The sequence below is a fragment of the Homo sapiens genome, chromosome 2 (genome assembly GCF_000001405.40).
Source record: "Homo sapiens chromosome 2, GRCh38.p14 Primary Assembly".
Classification (NCBI taxonomy): Eukaryota; Metazoa; Chordata; class Mammalia; order Primates; family Hominidae; genus Homo; species Homo sapiens.
Window position 1 is genome coordinate 191,515,904 of NC_000002.12, and position 25,856 is coordinate 191,541,759.

General features: G+C 40.9%; 1 long non-coding RNA gene across 1 annotated transcript in view, besides 1 other annotated feature; it reads left to right on the forward strand.

Annotated features, from left to right (window-relative positions):
- Positions 1-688: 688 nt before the first annotated feature.
- LOC107985833 (uncharacterized) overlaps positions 689-25,856 on the forward strand; it is a 31,909-nt gene continuing 6,741 nt past the window's right edge. The window contains exons 1-2 of the long non-coding RNA XR_001739229.1: positions 689-760; positions 6,922-7,010. This is a non-coding gene — a long non-coding RNA (uncharacterized LOC107985833). The remainder of the gene's footprint in view (positions 761-6,921; positions 7,011-25,856) is intronic.
- Positions 25,657-25,819: a silencer, noted in NCBI's record as "fragment chr2:192406286-192406448 (GRCh37/hg19 assembly coordinates)". NCBI's record gives its function as "represses an EF-1alpha promoter that drives an FKBP-Casp9 reporter gene in an ReSE screen in K562 erythroleukemia cells {active_cell/tissue: K562}" and the evidence as "EXISTENCE:reporter gene assay evidence [ECO:0000049][PMID:32094911]".

The following is a 25,856-nucleotide window of genomic DNA, read 5'->3' on the forward strand; positions in this document are numbered from 1 at the left end:
CAGCTGTCGCAACAGCAACAGCAGAGAGATGGACCTTTTGGAAAGTAATGGACACACTAGAAAAATATTTGAAAATCCATGACCTGTACTTATTTGATTCAAAGCCTATCATAGGAAAAGCCTATCACATTCCCTCAGGAATCTGTTGTTGTTATTTGCCTGCTCACCACAGCAAAGACTACTTCTTTTTCAAGACTTGAAACAATTATAATATATGTATATTTTTTTCTGATGGGCACTGTGTTTTAAGCTCTCTGTTCTTAAAATTTACAAATTTGTATTTGCTGCCCAGTTCTTTATTCTTTGTTGCCACATAAATCCTGCAATCTTGGTAGAAAAATAAAGAATACAGGAGAGCTGTTTGACCTTTGCTCCTTGCTGGGCATTGGTGTCATTTATAGTTATTAGAGTGGGGACAGAACGGAACTCATTGATGACTGAGCGGGTGGGGAGAGAAGGAGGAATGGCAAGCGGGGAAGGGAAAGGAGAGGGAGGAGAACACAGATTACTACAAGAATCTCATGTTGTGCTTTCACTTTGGGCAAGTATAACACTAGTAGTCCTTTGTGGGAGCTCGAAAAGGCACATGGGGGAAATAAGTCTCTGGAATAAACAGTATGACCTTGGCTGCATGGCTCTACTAACTTGGTTTTGCAGAACTGAGATAAATGGATACTAGTGAATTTGCATCAATTCCATTTAAGGCTTTAAAAAGACATATGGATAACATTATTGGCTACAGACCCTTAAGAAAACTAAGGTAAGTTCCTCTCAAGGCTCAAGCTAAGTCTTGTAGCGGGTAAAAATAGAAAGCCTTAGGCTGAAAAGCTGAAGGTCTCTATGTTACCATTGCTGAACCATTGGTTTACTGGGCAGTAGGGCTGGGGATCAATCTAAAAACCTGTCAAGCATGGTTCTTTTTAAAAATAAAACAAGGCCAGGTGCGGTGGCTCACGCCTATAATCCCAGCACTTTGGGAGGCTGAGACAGGTGGATCACTTGAGGTTAGGAGTTCAAGGCCAGCCTGGCCAACATGGTGAAACCCCATCTCACCTAAAACTACGAAAACTAACCTGGCATGGTGGTGTGCGCCTGTAATCCCAGCTACTAGGGAGGCTGAGGCAGGAGAATTGCTTGAACCCAGGCGGTGGAGGTTGCAGTGAGCCAAGATCGCACCACTGCACTCCAGCCTGGGTGACAGAGTGAGACTCCATCTAAAAATAAAATAAAAATAAATAAATAAACACATAAGTAAAACAGACAGCCTGCTTGTTCTCATGGAATACATGACAACAGTAAGCAAACGTAAAAATGCACAGCATAAACCACAAAAATTTTAATTAATAAAAAATGTAGTAAGAGAGGAAGTAAGAAGACTTGCTGTCAGTGTAAATATTCTAAAAACAGTGCTTCTTTAGATCAGGCTAAAATTAATGTCACTACTAAAGTTTCAGACAACTTAGTAATTTGGGCTAAGAAATATTTATTGAGCACCTACTTTGTGCTGGATACTGTGCTATACCATGGGTATATAGTGATAAACAAGGAGATAGAGGCTGGCTTCAATGTAAGGACCTTACACTCTAGTGGGAAAGATTAAAAAACAAACAAACAATGATGCAAATGCAGGACCCATAATGCAAGAGTACATGGCACTTAATAGGTGTCACTTTGGGAGCCCTCTACTGATAGCTACAGAGAGTGTAAGCTGTTTTCGAAGAATTAATGATCAGAGAGATCATCTTGAAGACAGCATTTAAGTTGGACCTTAAAGGAAGCTTAAAACTTCAACAAAGATGTGGAGGGGAAGTTCTTCTCAAATGAGGCACAGCAATGGTGGATACCTCTGCTTAGCTGGGCTGCAGGGTGTGTTTATGAGAGAAGTGAGATGCCAGCTGGTGTTACATTGAGTGGTTTGGACTTCATGGAGAAATACTGAGCCACCAATATTTTTGAGCAAGAAAGTGACGTGATCAAAGAGATAATTTAGGAAGCATAATCTGGTCGAGTTGGGCAGAAGGATTGTCAGGAAGGGGGTTGGAGGCTGGAGATCAAACAAAAGGGTGAAGTCAGAGGCTCAGTGGGAATGATCCAGTCCAAATAGGATATAATCCATTGAAACAGAAATGAAAGAAACTGTTAATAGTCAAGTTTTATGGTTTAGAAACTAAGATGTTAGTAAAGAAAGTATTTGATTACCAGCTTGACAGTGTCTAGGTAGCTTTGCTACATTCTGAGACTACAAACTGCTTGCTCCAATCAACTCAGTAAAAATAACTGCATTTCTAATATTTTTATTGTTCAACTAGATCCTCTGTGACAGCATCTAAGGGGAGCATAAACCAAAACCTAAAAATACATGCATACCATTTAGTCTGTTTTAGGAACATTTTTGTACTTGTGTGTGTGTGTGTGTGTGTGTGTGTATTCAGTAATTTCTGGGCGAGGAGCTTAGGTAGAACAAATCAATTTGAAAATGGCAATGTTAGCCTTGCCAAGGTTGGCTTTTTAAGAAGATTATGAACCATTATTTGGGAGGTTATTCTATTTTTTTTCCTGAAGTACAACTTCTTATTCCCGAGGAAAAATATTAAACATTCTGATAATGAATTATGTGACAGACGAGACTTACAGCAAGCTGTTCTGCAATTCGTGCCACAGGAGAGTGCTGTTACCTGTGAACAGTCTGACAGACTACAGGAAGAACTTGGCTTAAGTCTCTCAAAGAAAGAAAGAAAGAAAGAGAAATTGGAAAATGAAGTTTGAGATACTGGCTTTAACTTACGATAATAATGGGTATTCAAAATGGAAAAGAAAACTTGGAATTTTGAGAGGTGTGGAAGGGAGAGTTTAAGCATATGATACAGGCTACTTCAATATATATCATTCCTTATTCATTGATGCTGTTGTTCCCCTCTTTTCTCTACAAAGAGTTACAAACAAGAGAAAAATTAAAGAATTGACAACCAGGGCTTAGCCACTTGGTCATAGTCCATTGTGCGAGCATATGCTCCATATAATATTTATGAAGGATGATATTTGTAATTGGTAGGAAAATGATCTAGGGTGCTGCTATGAATTAGAAGGTGCATGTAATTAGGGATCTATTTCCCTGAGCAATTATCATTTTACAGGTAAAGGTCTGGTCTGTAATCTGAGGTCATTAACTCTTAAATACAATGCTGCTAAAGAAGTCTTCAGAGTTTTCACTCTCAAAGAGGCTGTCTTGAATCCTTCAATTTAAATACGGCTTTCCTCCCATTGTGCTCTTTTTTTTTCTTTTTTATGTGTCAGATGTACTCTCTTTTCTAGAAAAGAATTATCTATTACTCATACTATTTGCTTAACTCTCTCTTTTCCAGTTAGTTGATAAGTTTCATGAGGCTCTATATCTAGTCATCTAGCTGCGACCTCCTCTCTGAGCTTCATATTTCTTTTCTTTTCTTTTCTTTTTTTTTTTTTGAGACAGAGTTTTGTTCTTGTTGCCCAGGCTGGAGTGCAATGGCACAATCTTGGCTCTCCGCAACCTCCCCCTGCCGGGCTCAACAATTCTCCTGCCTCAGCCTCCCGAGTAGCTGGGATTATAGGCACCTGCCACCACGCCCGGCTAATTTTGTATTTTTAGTAGAGAAGGGGTTTCTCCATATTGGTCAGGCTGGTCTGGAACGCCCGATCTCAGGTGATCCGCCCGCCTCAGCCTCCCAAAGTGCTGTGATTATAGGTGTGAGCCACCACACCCGGCCTGAGCTTCATATTCTACATCCAGCTGCCAACTCAACTTTTCCACTTGGATATTTAATAATCACCTCAAATTTATCATGGCCCAAACAACCCCTCACCCCAAGCAAACCTGCCTCTCCCGCAGACTTCTCAGCTGCAAACCCAGTAGCCATCACTGACTGCTCTGTCCTTCACACGCTATGGCTAGCCCATCAAGAAAGAAGTCCCTGTCACTCCAACCTTCAAATATGCACTGAGTCTACCTGCTTCCCATCATTTCCACTGCTACAATCCTAGTACAACCACCATTTTATCTCTGCCATTACCTTTGCACTTGCCTCCTTGGCAGAGGGATACTTTAAAAGGGGAATCAGTTCAAACAGAGGGATACTTTAAAAGGGGAATCAGTTCAAACCATTTCCCTGCTTAAAAAACTCCAGTGGCTTCCTATTACAGTCAGAGTAAATTCTAAGCCCCTTACCCAGTCTGCCAAGACTCTGTGGTATCTGACAGCATCTGTCACTTTCTCCTTTATTCACTTCGGTGGGCCAGTTGTAATAGCCTTCTTTTAGATTCTTAGAGAAGCACAGAGCCCTTGCAAGCTTCTTTGTAGAACTTTCTCCAGATCTAGTCTGCCTTATTTGCCATAGTATCTCCAGTACTAGAAAGAGTGGCTAGAATGTGGGAGACACCAGGCCGGGCACGGTGGCTCACCCTGTAATCCCACCACTTTGGGAGGGTGAGGTGGGCGGATCACCTGTGGTCAGGAGTTCAAGACCAGCCTGACCAATGTGGAGAAACCCTGTCTCTACTAAAAATACAAAATTAGCCAGGCATGGTGGTGCATGCCTGTAATCCCAGCTACTCAGGAGGCTGAGGCAGGAGAATTGCTTGAACCCGGGAGGCAGAGGTTGCGGTGAGCCCAGATCACGCCATTGCACTCCAGCCTGGGCAACAAGAACAAAACTCCTTCTCAAAAAAAAAAAAAAAAAAATGTGGGGGACATCAGTACTTGTTGGCTAGAGGAATGAATAAAATTAGCATTGTGGAAGTCAAATATTATAGTCAAAGTATTATCAAGACCAGGGCAAATCCAGATCACCTAGAAAACTGAGAAAAATGGAAGAAGGAGATGTTATATATATGAGAAGAGATATATATATATGAGAAGGTTTATACAGAAGATATGTCTTAATATGATAGGAATCCATTGTATTCTAGAGATTATGTTATCATAAGAAACAATATACTAACAGTTTTCATAATTCTTTAATGATAATACTGAAACATTCCTTAAGACAAGAAGAGGTAATATTTAAAAGTACATTCTAAGTCCATTTGTGCCTGATTTTTGCGTAGACGACTCATAATAACAAGTATTTTGCATATAAATTTGAATGTGGGAAAAGTATAGGGGCATTGCAAATGAGAAATGTGACTATTCAGTGAACGTTTGAATGCGTACTGATGTAAATGGTGACAGCATACAAGACCACTTTCCAAATCAAGCCCCAAGTCAAATGCCTTTTTAAATGAAATTAAATGTAAACAAAATACTAGTTGCAATGTTGGACAACAAAATTATATAATTAATCTTCCACCTTAGGCTATTTCTTTGTCAATAGCACAATCTTCTACTCTTTCACAAAGGTCTGACAATTGACTTCTTCTATGGTTGAAGAAGGCCTGTTACCAAATGAGCAAGCCTATTTATTGTAGAATTTAATTCAACTTTCTTGCTTGCCCATTAAGAAACACATACAGAAAACTTTCATAAAGAAACCTTTTAACTTTTCTTCCCTAAGGATTGCTATTAAAAAGCACACCAAAGCAAGGAAGATTTGAGCTATTTTAAAATATGTAACCCATAGTAATGAATTAATTACCATATAATACTTAAAGCTTTGATTATTCGTACATGAGAGCTTCCATTATTAATGATTGCTTATGAAATTAATCTTTCTAATTTCCATTATGATTCAAATTAACTTGATTAGTTGGTCTCATGATTCACATTTCTATCAACCTCTACTTTTAATTTCTGAAGCATGAAATGACATAAAATGTCTTTGGGGGGAAAAGCACTTAAAATTAAGATTTTACTTTGATGTAGTAAGTAAATGAATTGAATTAGATGAATAGCAATTGAACTTTGTTTTCATTCACACACTGTCCTCTGGTGTTTAAATGTCTACATTGCATGTTAAAATGAGAACCCAAGATCAAATGCAAAAAGTTAATAGCTTCTTGCACTTAGGAAGGTCCGTTTAACTTTGTGTTTGGTCTAATAATTGTCTGCCCTATCAAGATTGTGAGTAAATGGATAAAAAATTCAAATGACTTGATAAAAACTAAGCTCAGTGCTTTCTAATAATACAAACTGCAGGTTTATAGAACATATATTTATGCTGACAGGATACAGACTACCTTTTTAAAAGTGCACATGGAGATTTCTTTTAAAGTGAAATCATTCAGTACTAAAGAGTTCACTTCATTTCCCCCCTACATTTTCTCACTTAAGACTCTTCACTAGAGGTTTTGACAAAGGAGAATTTAGTGATGGTCTAGTGCAGCCATCAGGAGCAATTAGGCCCTGAATCAGGGCTTCGTGCTCATTTTGGAATTCTGTAATCCTAGCAAATATTTCCCAATTGCTTTAATTTGATCATTTTTTCCAACACCTTCTCTCTCTTGATTTAAATTGAAACCAGAGTTAAAATTTTCTTAATGTTTTTTGTTTCAATTTAGTTTACAATTTATATATGTGTGTGTGTATATATACACACACACATATACACACATATACATATGTACATATAAATACACACACACACACACACACACACACACATATACCTTACATGTCTCATTTTAAATCTTTTGGATTGGCTGGAGTCTGGGCTTGTGGATTTCATTGTTTTTTAATTTTTTGAGCAGTCTTTTGCCCCATTGTCTTCTAAGTGATGACTGTAATCATGCTGCCTTTTCAAATGTCATGAATCTAATTTTATTTGTTTAGTAGAGTTGACTGAGGAAGCCTGGTGAGGTCCATGACCAGGGTCTGGAAAATGATAAATGTTAGCCTCAGGGAATTTATCATTTTATGACAATATGTTCACTGAGGGAAAGTCATTCCAAGTAATTAGCATGATGCCGTCAGGGAAAAGCTACTTTTTGAGAGCAATGATTTTTTTTTTGCAGGTAAACGTATTTATCTGAAGCTGGAAGAACACTTTCAGACATAATGGGAGCATTCCCTCATGGAGCATGAGGGTGGCCTAAATGACCTTGTAAGTGATTGTTGACACGAGGAGTCTGTGACCCAGAATATGGTTTTATAAATTTCCCACCGCAGGGCACTGATGAACGACACCCAGCAAAACCTGGACACGTGATCTCCAAAACATGGGAAATTTACGCTTGGAGTGATTTATGCCCAGGAAAATTAGGACTAGCAATCATTTGATGCTGGTTCTTGGAGGACCTTAAAGGATTTAAACACTGAAAAATGAATGCATCATACAGGTCACTGCCTCAATATATTACAGCCCTGAAAATTACACTGGGATGTTCTGTTTTTGAAGTCTCATGAGGGCAGAGGGCATCCCTGGCTTTGCCCACTATCAAATTCACTGCACCTAGCAAAATGTCTGGCATGTAATAAGCATTCAATAAACATTTGTTGGAGGACTGGATAGTGAAATTTGGCATGGTAAACCAAAACTATTCAGATTATAATATTTTAAACTTTCCACTATTGATTATCTATCTTTTGTCTGTCTGTCCATCCATCCATCCATCCATCCATCCATCCATCCATCCATCCTTATATCTAGAAAAAAGACTACTCTGAAATTTGTGAGAACTAATATGAATGGCTTCATTTTTTATAAATAAAGGACTTACACCGGTCAGGCGCAGTGGCTCATGCCTGTAATTCCAGCACTTTGGGAGGCCGAGGCGGGCAGATAGCTTGAGCTCAGAAGTTTGAGGCCAGCCTGGCCAACAGGGTGAAACCTTGACTCTACTAAAAACACAAAAATTAGCTGGGTGTGGTGTCTTAAGCCTGTAATTTCAGCTACTCAGGAGGCTGAGGCAGGAGAATCATTTGAACCCGGGAGGCAGTGTTTGCAGTGAGCTGAAATCGCTCCACTGCACTCTGGCATGGGTGACAGGGAGAGACTCCATCTCAAACAAACAAACAAGCAAGCAAACAAACAAACAAACAAAAAACTTACTAAAGTCTTTAGCTAAAGACTCAACAAAGAAGTTTAAGAACAATGCCTGCTGCCTGACTGGCATGGATGAAGTCACTGTGGCTTGAGGTCTGGTCCTCAGCTTGACAGATTCAGATCCTGGATTTTGTGGCTCAATTGCTGATGTTACTATTACCTCAAAAATTTGCTATTACTACCAATAATAGGTTTTTGTTTGTTTGTTTTTTTTTTTTTTTTTTTTTTTTTGAGACAGGATCTCACTCTGTCACCTAGACTAGAGGGCAGTGGTGTGACTGTAGCTCACTGTAACCTTGAATTCCTGGGCTCAAGTGATCCTCCTGCCTCAGCCTCCTGAATAGCTAGGACTACAGTTGCATGCTACCATGCCCGACTAATTTTTAAAAAATTATTTGTAGAGATGAGGTCTCACTGTGGTTACCCAGGCTGGTCATGAACTCCTGGCCTCAAGTGATTCTCCTGCCTTGGCCTCCCAAAATGCTGGGACTACAGATGTGAGCCACAATATCCACCTAATAGGTACCATTTATTAGGGGTTTAATAATCTGCCAGGCTCAGTGTCTTAAATCTATCACCTTATTTTATCCTCACAACAACTTCCTGTGATCAATTTTATCATTGCTATTTTTTTTTTTTTTTTTGAGATGGAGTTTCACTGTTGTTGCCCAGGCTGGAGTGCAATGGTGTGATCTTGGCTTACTGCAACCTCTGCCTCCCGGGTTCAAGCAATTCTCCAGCCTCAGCCTCCCAAGTAGCTGGGATTACAGGCATGTGCCACCATGCCTGGCTAATTTTGTATTTTTAGTAGAGATGGGGTTTCACCATGTTGGTCAGGCTGGCCTTGAACTCCTGACCTCAGGTGATCCTCCCACCTTGGCCTCCCAAAGTGCTGGGATTACAGGCATGAGCCACCGCACCCGGCCATCATTGCTCTCATTTTTATAGATGAAGAAACTGAAGTTCACAATGGTTAAGTAATTTGCTCTAAATTACACAGCTATACTGAAATAAAAACAAGAAAGCCAATCTTACAATAAAAAGAATAGAACTTAGGTATTACAATAAAGACATTTTAAGAAATACTTTCAATATAGTCAGAGAAAAAGAAACACCAATTCAAGGTTACAAAAATTGTAGTTTAGCTTAAATATCCAGTCTTCTCAGTGTGTCTCTGTGACTACAAACCCAAAAATCTACTTCATGAATGTGAAGCCCCGGTTCAGTGGCTACCTCTGCCTCTCGATAAGTCGTGGGATATTAACTGTTTCGGAAAAGGCAGCCCTGAATCTTCCTTCGCTACTGGAAGGCCACTGACTGCTTCCCTGTCACTGCTGTAACTTCTCAGTCCTTTATTCTGGCCAGACTGGGTATGGACCCCAATCTTTGATTAGCTTTAGCAACACTGTGGAGAGTAACATGAGTTGGATAATGTGGCTTGCCAGATACTGTTTGCATGCTTGAGCTTGGAGCCATCAGTAGGAATGTGGTGTAGATTCAGTCTGGGCCTGTCTCTTTGTTCAACTTTCCTTAACTCTTACTATTTAGGAGGACGCTAAGCACTCTAACCCCAGGCTTATTGTATTAGGAACCCCCTGGGTTTGGGTTCAAGTATCTTTATTTAAAAGCTTCCCTAAAAGACTCTTATTTTTTATTTTTTTATTTTTTAGACAGAGTCTCGCTCTGTCACCCAGGTTGGAGTACAGTGGCACAGTCTTGGCTCACTGCAACCTCCGCCTCCTGGATTCAAGTGATTCTCCAGCCTCAGCCTCCCAGTAGCTGGGATTGCAGGCGTGTGCCACCACGCCCAGCTAATTTTTATATTTTTTAGTAGAGATGGGGTTTCGCCATGTTGGCCAGGCTGGTCTCGAATTCCTGACCTCAGTTGATCTACCTGCCTCAGCCTCCCAAAGTGCTAGGATTACAGGCGTGAGCCTCCGCGCCTGGCCAAGAGACGATTATTCTAAGTGAGGTAACTCAGGAATGGAAAAACCAAACATCGTATCTTCTTGCTGTTATGTGGGAGCTAAGCTATGAGGATGCAAAAGTATAAGAATGATACAACGGACTTTGGGGACTTGGGGGCAAGGGTGGAAGGGGGACTATAAAAGACTACAAATGGGATACAGTGTATATTCCGTGGGTGATGGGTGTACCAAAATCTCACAAATCACCACTGAAGAACTTACTTATGTAACCAAATACCATCTGTACCCCAATAACCTATGGAAAAAAATTTTTCAGAAAAAAAAATGAAAGCTCCCTCAAGGATTCAGAGCAACTAGATTGTGGAAACACAAGTTAAAAACCTTGAAATCCAGGCCTGAAAGAGTGAGGTCAAGGGACAGAGTGGGGAGAGAGCAAAGGTGTCCCCTGCAACACCACCACCCCTGCCTAAGACATACCCAGTTACCTAACAGACACCTTCCTCTTTCTGTGATGACTGACACCAGGAGGCTCCCTCCCTCCAGGGAGACCAGACTAACCAAGACCTAAAGTCATCTTTACTCACAACACCATTCATACAAACACTTCTTTGGGAGAAAATCATACAATGACCGTCATCATAATAGTCACTGACCACTTACTCTGTGCCTGGCATAGTCTAAGTGCTTACAGATATTATCTCAATTAATAGACTATATATGTATCTATATTGATATATATGATTGTATACATAGATTATTATACAGAGATACACGGATTATGTAGATATAATAACTTATGTGAGGTCAGGGTAGGGTTTTGGGTAGGGAGAGAAGTTGTTTTGAGACACTAAATAATGAAAAATAACACTATTTCCTTGTTTGTTTCCTTTTTATGTGCCTCCCACTACACTTTGAGAATAGTGAGCTCAGGGACCATGTCTGTCTTACTCACTGCTCTATACCATGTGCATATTGCAGTGCACGGCACACTGGAGGCCCAAAGATATGTATCAAATGCATGAATAAAAGGGAACTAAAATGCTGATAAAAAGTGTACTTTTACACTGATAAAAAGTGTATTTTTTGTGAGAAAACCTAAATGGGAAACCAGATTACATTCAGATTCAGAGCAAAGAAGGTTATTTGGAAGATACTGTTGGCTGGTAGCACCACACAATGATGCCATCCATCTCTTTGACCATTTCTGCTAAGAGGGATTGTGATCAGCGCACCCTCTTTCCTGAACATAAATGTGTTTTTGTTTTGTTTTTAAATAACAACTTTATTTACATACTACACAATCTACCCCTTTAAATTGTACAATTCAGTGGTTTTAATATATTCACAAAGTGACACACCCATCACCACTCTCTAATTCCAGAACGTTTTCATCACCCCAAAAAGTACCCCTTAGCAGTCGCTTCTTATTTGCCCTTCCCCTCAGCCCTTGGCAACTACTAATCTCCTTATTGTCTCTATGGATTTGCCTATTTTGAACACTTCATATAAATAAAATTATATATGTTCTTTTTTGTCTGGCTTCTTTTTGAACTTAGCATAATGTGTTCCAGATTCATTCATGTTGCAGCATGAATCAGTACTCCATTTCTTTTTATTCCCATGTACTATTCCATCATATTGACATACTGCATGTTGTTTATCCACTCTTGAGTTGATGGACATTTGAGTTGTTTCCAATTTTCAGCTACCATGAATAGTGCTGCTAAGAACATTCATTCACATATGAGTTTTTGTGTGGACATGTATTTTCATTTCATTTCTAGACATGGAATTGCTGGGTCACATGTAAAACTATAGGAACTATCAGACTGTTTGGTAGAGTGCCTACATCTTCTTAACAATCCCATCAGCAATGTATGAGTGTCCAATTTCTCCACATACTTTTTTTTTTTTTTTTTTTTGAGACAGAGTTTCGGTCTTGCCACCCAGGCTGGAGTGCAACGCCATGATCTCCGCTCACTGCAACCTCTGCCTCCCGGGTTCAAGCAATACTCCTGCCTCAGCCTCCCAAGTAGCTGGGATTACAGGCATATGCCACCACGCCCAGCTAATTTTTGTATTTTTACTAGAGATGGGGTTTTGCCATGTTGGCCAGGCTGGTCTCAAACTCCTGACCTTAAGTGATCCGCCCACCTCAGCCTCCCAAAGTGCTTGGATTACAGGCATGAGCCACCTTGCCCAGCCACCATATACTCTTCATTACTTGTTATTATCTTTTTAATTTCAGCCATCCTAGTGGTATCTCATAGTGGTTTTATTTACATTTCTCTAATAAGTAATGGCATTGAACATCTTTTCATGTGATTATTGGCCACTTATATCTTCTTTGAAAAAACATCTATTAAATCTTTCATCCTTGGCCAGGCGTGGTGGCTCACCCTGTAATCTCAGCACTCTGGGAGGCCGAGGCAGGCAGATCATGAGGTCAGGAGTTCGAGGCCAGCCTGGCCAACATGGTGAAACCCCGTATCTACTAAAAATACAAAAAATTAGCCGGGCATGGTGGTGGACACCTGTAATCCCAGCTACTTGGGAGGCTGAGGCAGCAGAATCACTTGAACCCGGGAGGTGGAGGTTGCAGTGAGCCAAGATCGTGCCATTGCACTCCAGCCCGAGCGACAGTGCAAGACTCTGTCTCAAAAAAAAGTCCTTCATCCATTTTGTAGTTGTATTATTTGTCTTTTTATTGTTGAGTTGTAAGTGTTCCTTATATATTCTGAATGCGTTATTGAGTTTATGATTGCAAATACTTTTCCCCATCTTATGCATTGTCTTTTCACTTTCTTGGTGGTATCCTTTGAAGCATGAAAGTTTTAAATTTTGATGGTGTCAAATTAATTAAGCTTTTCTACTGTTACTTGTACTTTTGGTATTGTTCTTAAGAAACCATTGCCTAATCCAAAGTCAAAAAAATTTACGCTTATGTTTTCTTTGGAAAGTTGTATCATTTTAGCTTGTACATTTAGGCCTATGATTGATTTTGAGTAGATTTTTATATATGGTATAAACAAAAGTGGTTAAACTCACGGAATTCTTTCTTGCTGAAACTTCCAGGCTCAAAGTGGACCTTTTTTTTTTTTTCTTTTTTTCAGTTTACCTGATCTTTCTTCAGATCTGCAAATCTCTTTTACAAAGTCTTAATTACTCAATTTCTTTGTTCTGCTCTTCTGGTATGTTGACAGAGAAGTAGGCTGATTACTTCTGGAGATTGATAACTATGTTCATCATGTGTTGACTCTTTGAGAGAAAATGTAGTTCCAGGTTCTTTGGGGTGGGGTTAAGGGTGGGATGATCTAACAATAATGGTTTCCTATATGCTTACCATATAGAACAGATGGTTTCAAACTTTTGGGTATGGTGAGAGTTTGTAAGTTTGTAATGGTAGAATATATAGCTTTGCCTGAACTAAATTGAAAGCTATAACCAAGAAAATAAATATCTTGGTAGCTCTTCACTTTTTGGGATCTTAGAATAAAATTTGGTCTTAATGTTAACTCAAAGTTGTGGCTGAAGTTTAACAGGACAGCATTTAACATTTGCAGAAATGTGTCTGCTTTCTAACTAGGTTACAAATTTGCTCTTGAGGATAACTCAAGGTGAAGACTTGCAGGTCTGGGCTTCCCCAGGCCCTTTGGTGGCAAAGATAAGCCATGAGCTCTTGTTAATTGGTCCCTGGATTTTAATCTTCAGATATAGAAGCCAACAGTTCATTGCAGAGAATTCTCATTTGGCAACTGAGTTTTCCCAAGTCAACAAAGCATAAGGTCATTAGTTCTCAGAAGATAGCACATCTATTTAATGAAGTCTTATTTGTTGGAAGTGGCTAGAGATCAGGGCCCAAATGAGCTTTTTTTCTTTTTTCTTTTTCTTTTTTTGAGATGGAATCTTACTCTGTCGCTCAGGCTGGAGAGCAGTGGTGTGATCTTGGCTCACTGCAACCTCCGCCTCCGGGTGCAAGCAATTCTCTGCCTCAGCCTCTCGAACAGCTGGGATTACAGGCACCCGCCACCACGGCCGGCTAATTTTTTGTATTTTTAGTAGAGTTGGGGTTTCACCATCTTGGCCAGGCTGGTTTTGAACTCCTGACCTCGTGATCCACCTGCCTCAGCCTCCCAAAGTGCTGGGATTACAGGCGTGAGCCACCGTGCCCAGCCAAATGAACTCATTTTCTAATCACTATACTTGACTAACACACAATGGCATGGTGGTTTTCCCTAGGTCTAACAATCAGTGAGAAGAATACATTTTTTTTCCAACTAGCATTAAAAATAAGTTTTCCAAACTGAAGAGAAGACTTCTGCCATCATTATTTTATGTTGCAGTATCCATATTTGTGTTCTCATTAAAAAATTCTTGTTGTCCTCTCTTACATAAACAGAGATGAATACATTCAAAGCAGGAGTATGCAACAAGATACATGGTTCAGAACATAGGAACTGAAAAACACAGTTTTGATGGATCGTTGCTACATCTGGTTATAGACAACTGATTCACAATTAATTGGGCCATGGAGCAAAGTGAGATTATATCTAGAAAATTTTCAACCCTTATTTTAATTCGTCACTTAATTTTAAAAATTTCAGCTTGTGCGTGGATTTGCCATAAAACCAATGATGCAAAAGCTTCATTTGCCATAGCCCTTTCCAGGCCCTGTATCAAATTTTGCTTTTGTAATTTATGTTATTTTCCTTAAAAGGAGTCTTCAAAAATGTATGGGTTTTAGGTTTCACCCTTGCCTGAGTTAGTTAGCTACATCTCACTTCTTTATATAGGCTATTTTTAAAATGCATGCACAAGTGGTTAAAAGCAGATGATTTGTAAAATGAGTTATTTCTTCAAGTTCTATAAAGCGATAGCAAGAAAGAAAACCCTAGATTTCTGTATCATCTATCTTACAAAAAAAAACCCTCCAGTTATCTGTTTTTTCTTACCCTTTTTTGTTTCAAACCACAGTGTTTCACTGAGCAGCTGAGGTCTCATGTGTTTAGTGGCTGGAAAATGTGGTTCATGTTCTTGACTTGGTAGGGCTCATGGAGAAGTGTGTTAGTCTGTTCTTGCATTGCTATAAAGAAATACCCAAGACTGGGTAATTTATAAAGAAAAGAGGTTTTATTGGCTGATGGTTCTGCAGGCTTTATAGAAAGCATGGTGCTGGCATCTGCTTAGCTGCTAGGGAGGCCCCAGGAAGCTTACAATATGGCAGAAGGTGAAGGAGGAGTAGCAGGCTTGTCACATGGCCAGAGCAGGAGCAAGAGAGTGAGAGTTGGTGGAGGAGGTGCCCCACACTTTTAAATGACCAGATCTCATGAGAACTCACTCACTATCATGAAGACAGCACGAAGCCATGAGGGATCCACTCCCATGATCCAAACATCTCCCACCAGGCCCTACCTCCAGCACTGGGGATTACAACTCAACACGAGATTTGGGCTTCAGATATCTAAACTATATCAAGAAGCCAGTTCTACTTTACTTGGTGGTTCTCCAGACCATGCTGTATAAGAAGCTCTGTCAGGAAGATGGATTTGGCTTACCCAAATGCCACATTCTGCTTCGGCTGTAGCTTCCTCATGTGTAAAATACACATAAATTACTTTCCTACTTCAGAGATGTCAGGTGAAATGCAACAGAATAGGTGCTCTTAGGAAAACAAGATGATTTAGAAATTAAGGAACTTCTGTGTAAGCTCTGTGAGTGTTCGACTATGTCTGTCTAGCCCCCAACCTTAGTACAGGGCCCTGGATATAGTAGGTGCTCCATAAATATTTGTGACATGAATGATTGATTGCTGTAGTAGGCTTTGATTTCTTTCATTGCCCTCATGTATTAGTTAAGGTACTGCTAGCTGTTTCAATAGTAACCCCTGCAATCTCGATGACATAATACAAATGAAATCTGTTTCTTGCTTATAGACAGTCCACCTGTGGGAGGAAGGCAGATGGAAGAGGAAATCAATGAGGGTCCTAGGCTGACAGAGACTCTGCCATCTTCAGCAGATGGCTTCCAATATGACCATGAGTGGGCATCAGTGTCAGGTGTCTGAAGCAGAAAGCGAGAGCATGGAGAATTCCACAGATGATATACAGAAGATTGCATAGAGGCCTGGAGAGAGGGTGCACCCTTCCCCTCACATTCCACTGGGAAGAATTCAGTCACTTCGCTTCAACCTACCGCAAGGGAGGCTGGGAAATGAGGGCTCTGGCTGGTTAGCTGCTGCCCAGGGACATCTTTACAACATGGAAGGGCAGCATATGGGTGGCAGCTGGCCTTCTCTGCTGCTCTAGAATACAGAACCTAACGAGAGAAAGAGAGAAAGAGAGAGAGAGAGAGAAGGAAGAGAGAGAGAGAGAGAGAGAGAAGAGGAAAGGGATGGATGATCCAAGGCAGAAATTATGTGGCATGTGATGAGAGAGGAACAAGGACAAAAAGAGTGTCCAGGACATCAGTTAGAGAGATGAATGGAAGCACAATAAGGATGCAAGTAAAAATAGAAGCAATTAATGTGAGAAATGTCCTTTGATCCTTTTGTACAAAAACAAAGCAGCATGCTTCAAACCTCCCTCTGTGTATGTCTTGCCTAAATTTTTCTCCTCGGACTCAACCTTCCATTCATTTTCTATGCTTCACTCTGCCAGAGAGACTATGAAAGCCTTTCAAAAGTAGTTTTCAGTCCTGACTTTGAGTAAGAATGCTACGCAATACTAAATCTTCAACACTCTACTTATTCCAGTTTTCCCTTAATGATGTTACCCTGAGGAACTTTATGGCTAGGAAAAAAAATTACAAGTGTCACATACTTTTTTTTTTTGAGACAGAGTTTCATTCTGTTGCCCAGGCTGGAGTGCAATGGCGCGATCTTGGCTCACTGCAGCCTCTGCCTCCCAGGTTCAAGCAATTCTCCTGCCTCAGCCTCCCAAGTAGCTGGGATTACAGGCATGTGCCACCACGCCCGGCTGATTTTTGTATTTTTAGTAGAGATGGGGTTTGACCATGTTGGTCAGGCTGGTCTCGAACTCCTGACCTCAAGTGATCTGCCCACCTTGGCCTACTAAAGTGCTGGGATTACAGGCATGAGCCACCACACCTGGCCCAAGTATCACATAATTTTTTTTTAAAACAAAAACAAAAACAAAAAAACAGCTTGTCATCCATTAGCTATATATATATTCAAATGCTGATTAAATTGCTGATGTATTTTTTTTTGGTTAAGTGTTATTCTGTCAGTGACCCAAGAGTCTCAGAAATAAAGTGAATTTCTAAAGAGAGAGTCCTCACACCCAGAATGAAGGCGGAAGGCTACTTCTGGAAATAAAATTGTGCAGATGTAGTTGCAAGTGAGTCAGCCTCAGTGAGAAACAAATTGTTTGAACAATAGACTTAATTAACTTGTGTTTATGTCTTCCATCATGGCAGGTGTAAAGTCCCAGGGCACCTGCGGATACACCTGAGCTAGAGCCTAGAGTTGCTTCTAGAAGAGAGTGAAAAATGACTGAAGCGTTAAATAAGACCATGATGGTATGGTAGCTCTCCCCTGCTGCCTGCGGGTAAGGCTCCAAAGGGAAGAGAAATATAGGACTGAGTTCCTGGAGCTTTGTCTACTATATTTCTTTTAACTTGAAAAGAGCATTTAGCACTAACAGAAGTGCAGTTTGGGTTGGCTTATAACGAGGATCCTCTCTATTGGGGGATGTATGCTGCTTCTAAATAAGAAAGAGGAGTGTCAGGAAGGTGAGTCTAACTGGCAAGAACAGGGGTCCAAATCAAATCAATCCCTTTCTCACATCTAACCTGATGGAGAGAAATCCCTTGCTTGTACAATGATGCATATTTGGGGAAATGCTTGAGGTGCTTCATCTCAGGTTTAGTTCTCTATAAAAAGAATTAAATGTTTCTCTTTTTGGAAATATTTCTGTCGTAATTTGGGCCTGCCTTCATTAAATGCTCTTTTTCTTAGACTTTTTTTTTTTTAGTGTTTATTGTAATGTGTATTAAATATGGCAATAAAATGCCTGGAGATAAACAGTACAGAGCATAAACATAACTTCTTGTCTAGTTGTGTGTTCAAGGTTGGCTTCATCCACTAATGATTGGGTTATGAAACTCACTTGGGTTTTTTTACTATTTAAAAAACTCAATCTACTTATTATTCATCTTACTGATGAGGCCAACTGCATTCAGTGTCAATGATGCAATACTCACTTGGTAGAGAAATAGCTTCCTTCCTGAATTCTTATTTTTGGTCTGAAAGTTTGCTGCCAATTTATAACATAGTTTTAGAGAGAAAAATATAATTGATAGGTAGAACTCTTTGAAGATTCAGGTGAATCCAAGGTGAAGAGAATAATTGAACATATTGTAGCTGTATTACTTTTATTTAAGACTGATTAAAATGCTGATATAGAATGTGTGTGTATTTTTGTACATAATTTATTCATTTCTCAATATCTCATCAACAATTATGGAGCACTTTCTCTATGACCAGCATGCTGGGGGCTGGCAGTACAAGGAGAATAAGATGGCCACAAGGAGGTGGGAGTAGAAGGAGATCTGATCTGGTAAGATGATCAGTTCGATCATTTTTGGAATATATTCACTAAATGTGACCTTGGGAAGAGATTTCATGAAGTTCTCTTACATTGTTGCAGGTTACTGTTGGCTTTTATACATTGAGCCTTTTAGCTGTTACAGCATATATGACACGTATACAAACTCATTCAGTCGAATTCCTCAAACTGCTATTGAACTACCTTTGTGCTAGAAGCAGTGATACGATGTGAAAGAACACTTGGTCTTCTTCAGGAGTTGCTTGAGGCAGAGAGTCATGCAAACGATAAGTTATATGGAAATAGCTTAAGCACCAAGCATGAAGGAAGCATAGATGAAGTCAGGTGATCTGTGCTGCCTGGAGAGAGCTCTTGAGATGAGGGGCCATTTGAAGTGAGCTTTAAACGTTGAGTGTGAGCAAAGAAGAGAGAAATGGGCAAGCCAGGTAGAGGGAACAGCAAAAAGGAAAGAACCTGAGGCAAGAAAAGGCATGGACCATTTAGAAAACAGTGGGAGACTCTGTGTGGCCAGATCAATGAATTCGTGGCAGTTAATGGTTGGGCATGAGGGCAGAGAAGCCAACTGGGAACAGTGTGGGCATGCCACTTTGAGGAATATTCCAGAGGATTTTAAGCAGGGAAATGAAGTTCTTATGTGTGGGAGGAAAAGTATGGTGGTAAGTGGGCTGTACATTGTGGAGGGGAGAGACTGAGGATAGCAAGGTTTTCTAGCCCTTTATAAAAGAGGTGCTGGGAGCCTAGACTGCAGAATTGGAATGAAGAACCAAGTTGCTACAGATAAGGAACTGGACTGGGCTTGAGGCAAATAAACCTTTAAACCAGTTTAGTTGAAAGGATAAGGTTCTGGGGGTTTACAAAGGCATCAATAACAAGGAAACAAAGTACTAGAGGAGGCTCAGGTTAGTTAGGAACCAGTTAGTTTGAGATGGGGGGAGTTGATTTAATGAAAGTGTCTTGGCTAAAGTATTGGAGTGTAAGGACAAGCCACAGATATAACACATTGATAATTGAGAACTTTGCTCAAAATAAATTATCCCACTGATGTTGTTTTCACTATCGAATACAGAGGTGAATATCTGTCAAAATGGCCTGGCAACCCTGCTTTGGTGGGGCAGCTTATTTAATATTATGAAAATTAACTATTCATTACTTTCCAATTTCAATCCCATTACGCATTGCATAACCCAACTGGGCTAAGGGGTCCAAGGTCTACGTTCTCTACCAATTCTACTACCACAAACAGTTATCTTGAGAAAGCAAACTTTCAACTTTCCTTCAATAAAATGATTGCTATTGTATATCAATCAGTAGAGCTTGCATGTCTGTTCTCTCCCATTGCTCAAAATGAGCACATAGTCTACTACATCATTTGTCTAAAGGATGGGCTTAGTTAGAAGTTATAAGGACTGCTAAATTTTGGAGCATTTGCTAAGAGAAAATGCTCAGGACTATCTTGTTTTTCTCTTCATTATAATGACTATTGGATTCTCTCAATTCTACTCACTTTTTAGATTTGTCATTACGGGAAACTAAAGCCATACACTTGTCTTGGCATATTGTTAGTGCCCTTTTGACAATACTTGACAGTAATCCAACTCCAAATAGTTTAAATCTTTTTTTTTTAAAAAAAGGGAATTTATTCCTCAAAAAATTTGGAAGTCAAGAAGGATGTTGCAGGTTGGTTTCTTCCAGAAGCAGACACACAGATGGAGTTAGGAGTGCAAACGTTTTCTTGGGTAGTAACACTAGTGAAAGGAAAAGGGAGGAAGCAGAGTGGGCAGAAGAGGCCACCAGTCTGCAAAACAGATCCCACAGTCTCTGCTAGCACCACATGGGGCTCTGAAGGAGCTCTGCATTGGGTGGGAATGGCTAGGACCGTGATTCCTGAACTGCGCTGCCTGACTCTCCAGGGTGCCAGGGAAAACACTCAGGGGCACTGCAGGGTATTTTTAATTTTCCAGGGAAACACGGTAACGTATGTCAGGCACTGCACAAACTACTACTGTTTACTCGTTTGGACCTAACTATTTAAAAAAGGGAACTATAGGCATTTCTTTTGACTTCTGGGGTGCCATGAAAAAATTACTGAGCACTAAGAGTGCCATGAACTGAGAAAGCTTGAGGATCTCTGGACTAGGCCTTGTTTCTTGGGACCCTCAAAAAGAATCTGACCTTGGTTATCAGAGCCTTGCTCAGTCATGGGCTGGGGCAGCCTCAGAAGAGTGTGACCTCAATCTAAAGGCTGGTGGCCCATGAAGCTAATAGCTGGAGGCTGTCTCTACCAACTACAGCCAAGCACACTCCTCAAAGGTGGAAAGCAGGTCCTTTCTTGAAGGGGGATCTGATTCCATGGTGGATCTTGAAGGGTGATCTGTTACATGGTGGTCTGACTTCAGGTGTGCTGTATCTAGGGACTCACTCCTCTTGGTTTCATTCTCTCTGAGTACAGGATGGGCTTTCTGCACCCTTTGAAGAAGATGAGTTTTGGCAGTCTTTCCCCAACTGAAAGATAAGGCTCTTCTCTTTGACTTCAAATTGTGATTGGCCTGGCTTGGGTGGCATGCCCAGTTCTGGGCTAATTGCTGTGTAGGAAACGATTGTTGGGGCTGGTTGCCGTCACATGCTCCTTTCCAGGTATTTCCATGCCAGGATTTTTCCCATCGTTCGGGTCTGTGCTCCACTATCAGTTCTTCAGTATCCCACAGGTGGTTTACAGCTGCCATCTTGCTTTATTTTCTTCCTGTTACTCATTGTTAAAAAGCATACTATTGACTTTTCGCTCTGTGTTATTGTCCACCTCTTCCAGTAGAATCTAAGCTCCATGTAGGCAGAGAGGCTGCTGGTCTTGCTCACTGCTGAAGCCCCAGTGCCAAGACAATGCACTCAATAGATATCTGTGGAAAACTGAGTGAGAATCCATTCCTATGGCCAGGGGAGCATGGCACCATAGTACTCAGAAGGAGCCAATCAGAATCATTTCCTGCATGGTCAGGGTGTGTGGGGAGCAATTCTCCCAAGGAAGTGAAGATTTTAGGCAGAAGAAAACAATGAACAGCTGGTTGTTCTAGGTTGGAGGCAGTCTTGTTTTTCATCCAGCTGAGGCTGGACCTCACCATGGGATGTGGCCCAGACATTCAGATTAGAATCAGTTCCTTTGATATAAGTAGACACAGTCATCAGTGGAATTATTAGAGAACTGCAATTGGTAATTCCAAATGATTTTATGGAGGCTGAGGAGCTGTTATGCAGTTCTAATATCTGTGATCCCCCAGAGCCCTCCCACTCTTTGACAACTTATTTCCAATGCACAGATGGTTTCTATGGGTCTTAAGATGACTATTAAGTCACTAGGCCCAGGCTTACAAATAAGCTTTTATGTGTCAAGCCTTGCATTTTACTTGTGAACTGCTTCTTATTTGGATGATAAAAAGCAATTTCAGTAGCACTTAACAAAATTGGTTTGTGACCAGACAAGGACCCAGGGCTCCACTTGCAGAGTTGGGAAGTATGACTCTTCTCGCCTCAGCAATTCCAGAAAGTTCTCATGTTTTAAATTCAGTCGGGACCTTCAGTCACCCATTGCTTCTGAGCCTGAAGGTGGGCAGGTTACCTGCACCTTAAACAAGGCTTGTGGAACCTCTTCATGTAAGTCACTGAAAGAATTATTAGACAACCAAAAGGTGGAGTTCTGCTTGAAAAATGTGCCAGATGTCTGATCTGGCCTGCTTATTCACATATTTTCATCCACCCTACTTATAGAGCCACGTTTATTCATGCTCGCATTTGCATACTATTCTCAAGTTCCATTTGCATATTTAAAACTTATTATTATTTTAAATAGGCATGTTTACTTGATTGTCAACCTCATCAGAGCAGATCTCATCCTTTCTTACTTTCGTGAACTGGAACATAACAGAAAGAGCCCTGCACAGACATCACATCAACTCTGCCACCAACTCATTGCACGATGTTGGAAGTCTCATGCCCTCCTTTATCTCCATTTTCTTACCTGTAAAACGAAGGAGAGGGAAAGGCCCTTGGAGCTGCTGTGAGTCTAAAAACCCTGTACCTCATCCACAGTAGGTGCCATCATAGGGAGCCTCTTGCCAGCACTGCCTGGAGGAGGGATCCCCTTCCCCAGGCAGTTTTCTTCATCCAGCCTGTGAGTCTCTATTCCCAGCACTAGTCTCAGATAAAAGCTGCTCTGGAAGCTGATAGGGCAATGACAGTCTCCTTGCTAGGGGAGGGGGACTTTTGCCTCACTCTTCTTATTGTCCCCAAGGGAAGCAACCATGATAAATGCAAAACAGGCACAAGGGTCGTCTGCTCAGCTGGTGACACCAGACCGCGCTTTCTGTTGAGCCTAGCCAGTGACACTCACGCTGCCTGGGGGACTGGTTGGGGAGGGGATCTATTTTTCTCTGAGTTGATAGACAGTAAATCCCATTCCTGGTTTACAGTAGCTCAGGGCCAAGGGAACCCTGCCGTTTAGTAGGAAACAGACCTAGGGTACACTGACCAGCCTCCTGAGAGGAAATAGCCCACATGAAGGAAGGGCAGGGCAGTTTGTGACTTTAGTTTTCACTTGAATGGGAGGCTAATTAACATAAAATTAATTTTATTGTGGCTATCAAACAGCCTAGAGTTCATATGCTATAAAAAAATTATAGTAATTAGTGCATCCAGCCAGCACAACAATACAAATATTCAGTGGCATTTGTGATTTCCAACAGAGCATTTGCTACCTGGGCAATTCTCCTTCTGAGTATCTGTTTCTCAAGAATATGGTTTTTAATAGCTTTGACTTGACATTTATATCTTGAGCAAAACTGAAATGGGCAGCTAAAGACTAATTATGCTAAATATTCTAACAAGCATAATTACCGTTGTTCCAGCAGGGGGCACCGAAGGCAATGTCTCAGTGTGTCTTTTTCTTTTTTCTTTTCTTCTTTTTTTTTTCTTTTTTATCCCCCAAGCTGCTGCTTTTAGGCTTATTTAATGGAAGCTGATTGCCCTATCCTAATGATTCTTTTTTTGCATAATCTACACTGCAATAACCTACAAGCATTTTTATTTTAGCATAATTTCAAATTTTGGTTTTTGCTCTGTTAGATTCTTTCTGTTCAGAGAACAAAGAGATTACCAAAAAAAAAAAAAAAAAAAAAAAGAAGCAAAATCTTGGCCTAAGCTCAAGTCCTGGAGGTTTTTGAGCAGAAGCTCCTGACTTGTTCTAAGGACCGCATGTGACACTGTGCCTTGACTGGTGTTGGAGTTCATTGTGGAGGAGAGGAGGACGTGCACACATATCTCTGGCAAATTTGGTTTCTATCCAGTCAACAGTAAAATTGAGAAATGAGCTTTTCACTAGCAAATGGTAATTATAATGAAAAACTCCCAACCTTACACAGTACACAGGAGAAAAACAGACCGCACTGTTATTTCCTGATTTCCTGCAAATCACAGTTGGCAGCATTTGACGGCACAAGTCAAGGACCTTATAGGCAAGATTACCTAGAAAATCCTTTGCTTCAGAAGCCAAAAACCTTTAAGTCTTCAGTATTTAAATGCAGCTGTATTGCTGATTAGATGTCAGAACTAGAGCACACTGAAGTGCCCTATTTAGTGATTAACTCAATGGACCAATTTTGCTTTCAGATATTATACTTCCATGGAGGAAAAATTTGCATACAGATTTAGAAACAGGACTATCTTCTTTCTGGGTTATGCAGGGACTGGGGGATGCAAAATGTGTGAGTGCCACCATAATCCTCATTCCACAATTGTCTTGTCTCTAACTGAATCTCTTAGTGAATCATCTTTATCACCAAGAATATGACATAGCCACAGGGATGTTGCTAGGAACAAATCATTTCTTGTTTTTCAGTGCTTTATCGATTAATGTATCTTCACTCTCTCTGCTATGTAGGAGCCAGCACTCAGAGAGAGAGCTTACAACTCTGTACCACATATTAAAATCTTTGGCTATATGTAAGGTTCCCTAGTGTAAATTTTATTTATTTATTTGAGACAGGGTCTCACACCATTGCCCAGGCTGGAGTTCAGCGGTCTGATCTCGGCTCACTACAGCCTTGACCTCCAGGGCTCAGGTCATTCTCCCACTTCAGCTTCCTGAGTGGTGGGGACTACAGGCATGCACCACTATGCCCGGCTAATTTTTTGTATTTTTTTGTAAAGATGGGGTTTCCCCATGTGGCCCAGGCAGGTCTCCAGAGCTCAGATGATCCACCTGCCTTGGCCTCCCGAAGTGCTAGGACTACAGGAGTGAGCCACCGAATGCTGCCTTAGTGCAAATTCATATGTGACTTTTTTTTCTGCTTGTGCTTATAATGAATCTGTCTAGTGCCTCATGTGTTTTGGATATAATCTGAGGACTCCCCAACATATAGAGAAATTCCTGCAATTCTCAGCTTAAATTCTTCCTCCTTCCCTGATCTCCAGGCATGGGTAGCTAGGGTCTCCGCTGCCATCCCACAGCACTGTGGGTGGCTGAGGGCCAGGGAATAGGTGTGAAGTGGTTTCACTATAAAGCACAGCCTGCCTCAGCCTACAGGGGCAGCTGATAGTGCTACACAGAACATGTCTCTGTGACTTTGGAGACTTATCCTCAATTTGGAAATTGCACTTCTGACTAAGAAGACTGAGCAGAATATAGGAAGAACCCCCACGCCAAAAACAAAACAAAACAAAACAAAAACAAAAACAAAAAAACCCCAAAACCAAAAAAAAAAAAACAAAACAAAAAACAAAAAACTCGAAGTGCTAAGCTCTAAACCCCTGGACATATAAAAATCCACAATAAGTGATAAGCACAGGGCATTTATGACGGGCATTAGAGGAAAGCGAATACAGTTGATGAAGACTGTAGATAAAATCTGAACTGTGAGCACCTGCAGACACAGAGAATATGCTGCAGTGACTAAAGAGGGGTCTGATACAAGGAAATGATCTCCAAGTGCCCACTGGTGAGGGACCAGAGCAGCAGCCTTGCTCCTAACGTGCAGGGTCCAGGGCAAGAGAACAACGGGCGGCCCACGTACCATATGACTACATGTTACAAAATCAGTATCAGGTCTACAACTTGGTAGATAAAATATGCTCTAACTCCCCACCTTGACACATGTAATTTTATTTTATCTTATTTTATTTTATTTTATTTGAGATGGAGTCTCGCTCTGTTGCCCAGGCTGGAGTGCAGTGGTGTGATCTCAGCTCACTGCAACCTCTGCCTCCTGGGTTCAAGTGATTCTCCTGCCTCAGCCTCCTGAGTAGCTGGGACTACAGGTGCATGCCACCACGCCTAGCTAATTTTTGTATCTTTAATAGAGACAGGGTTTCGCCATGTTGGCCAGGCTGGTCTTGAACTCCTGACC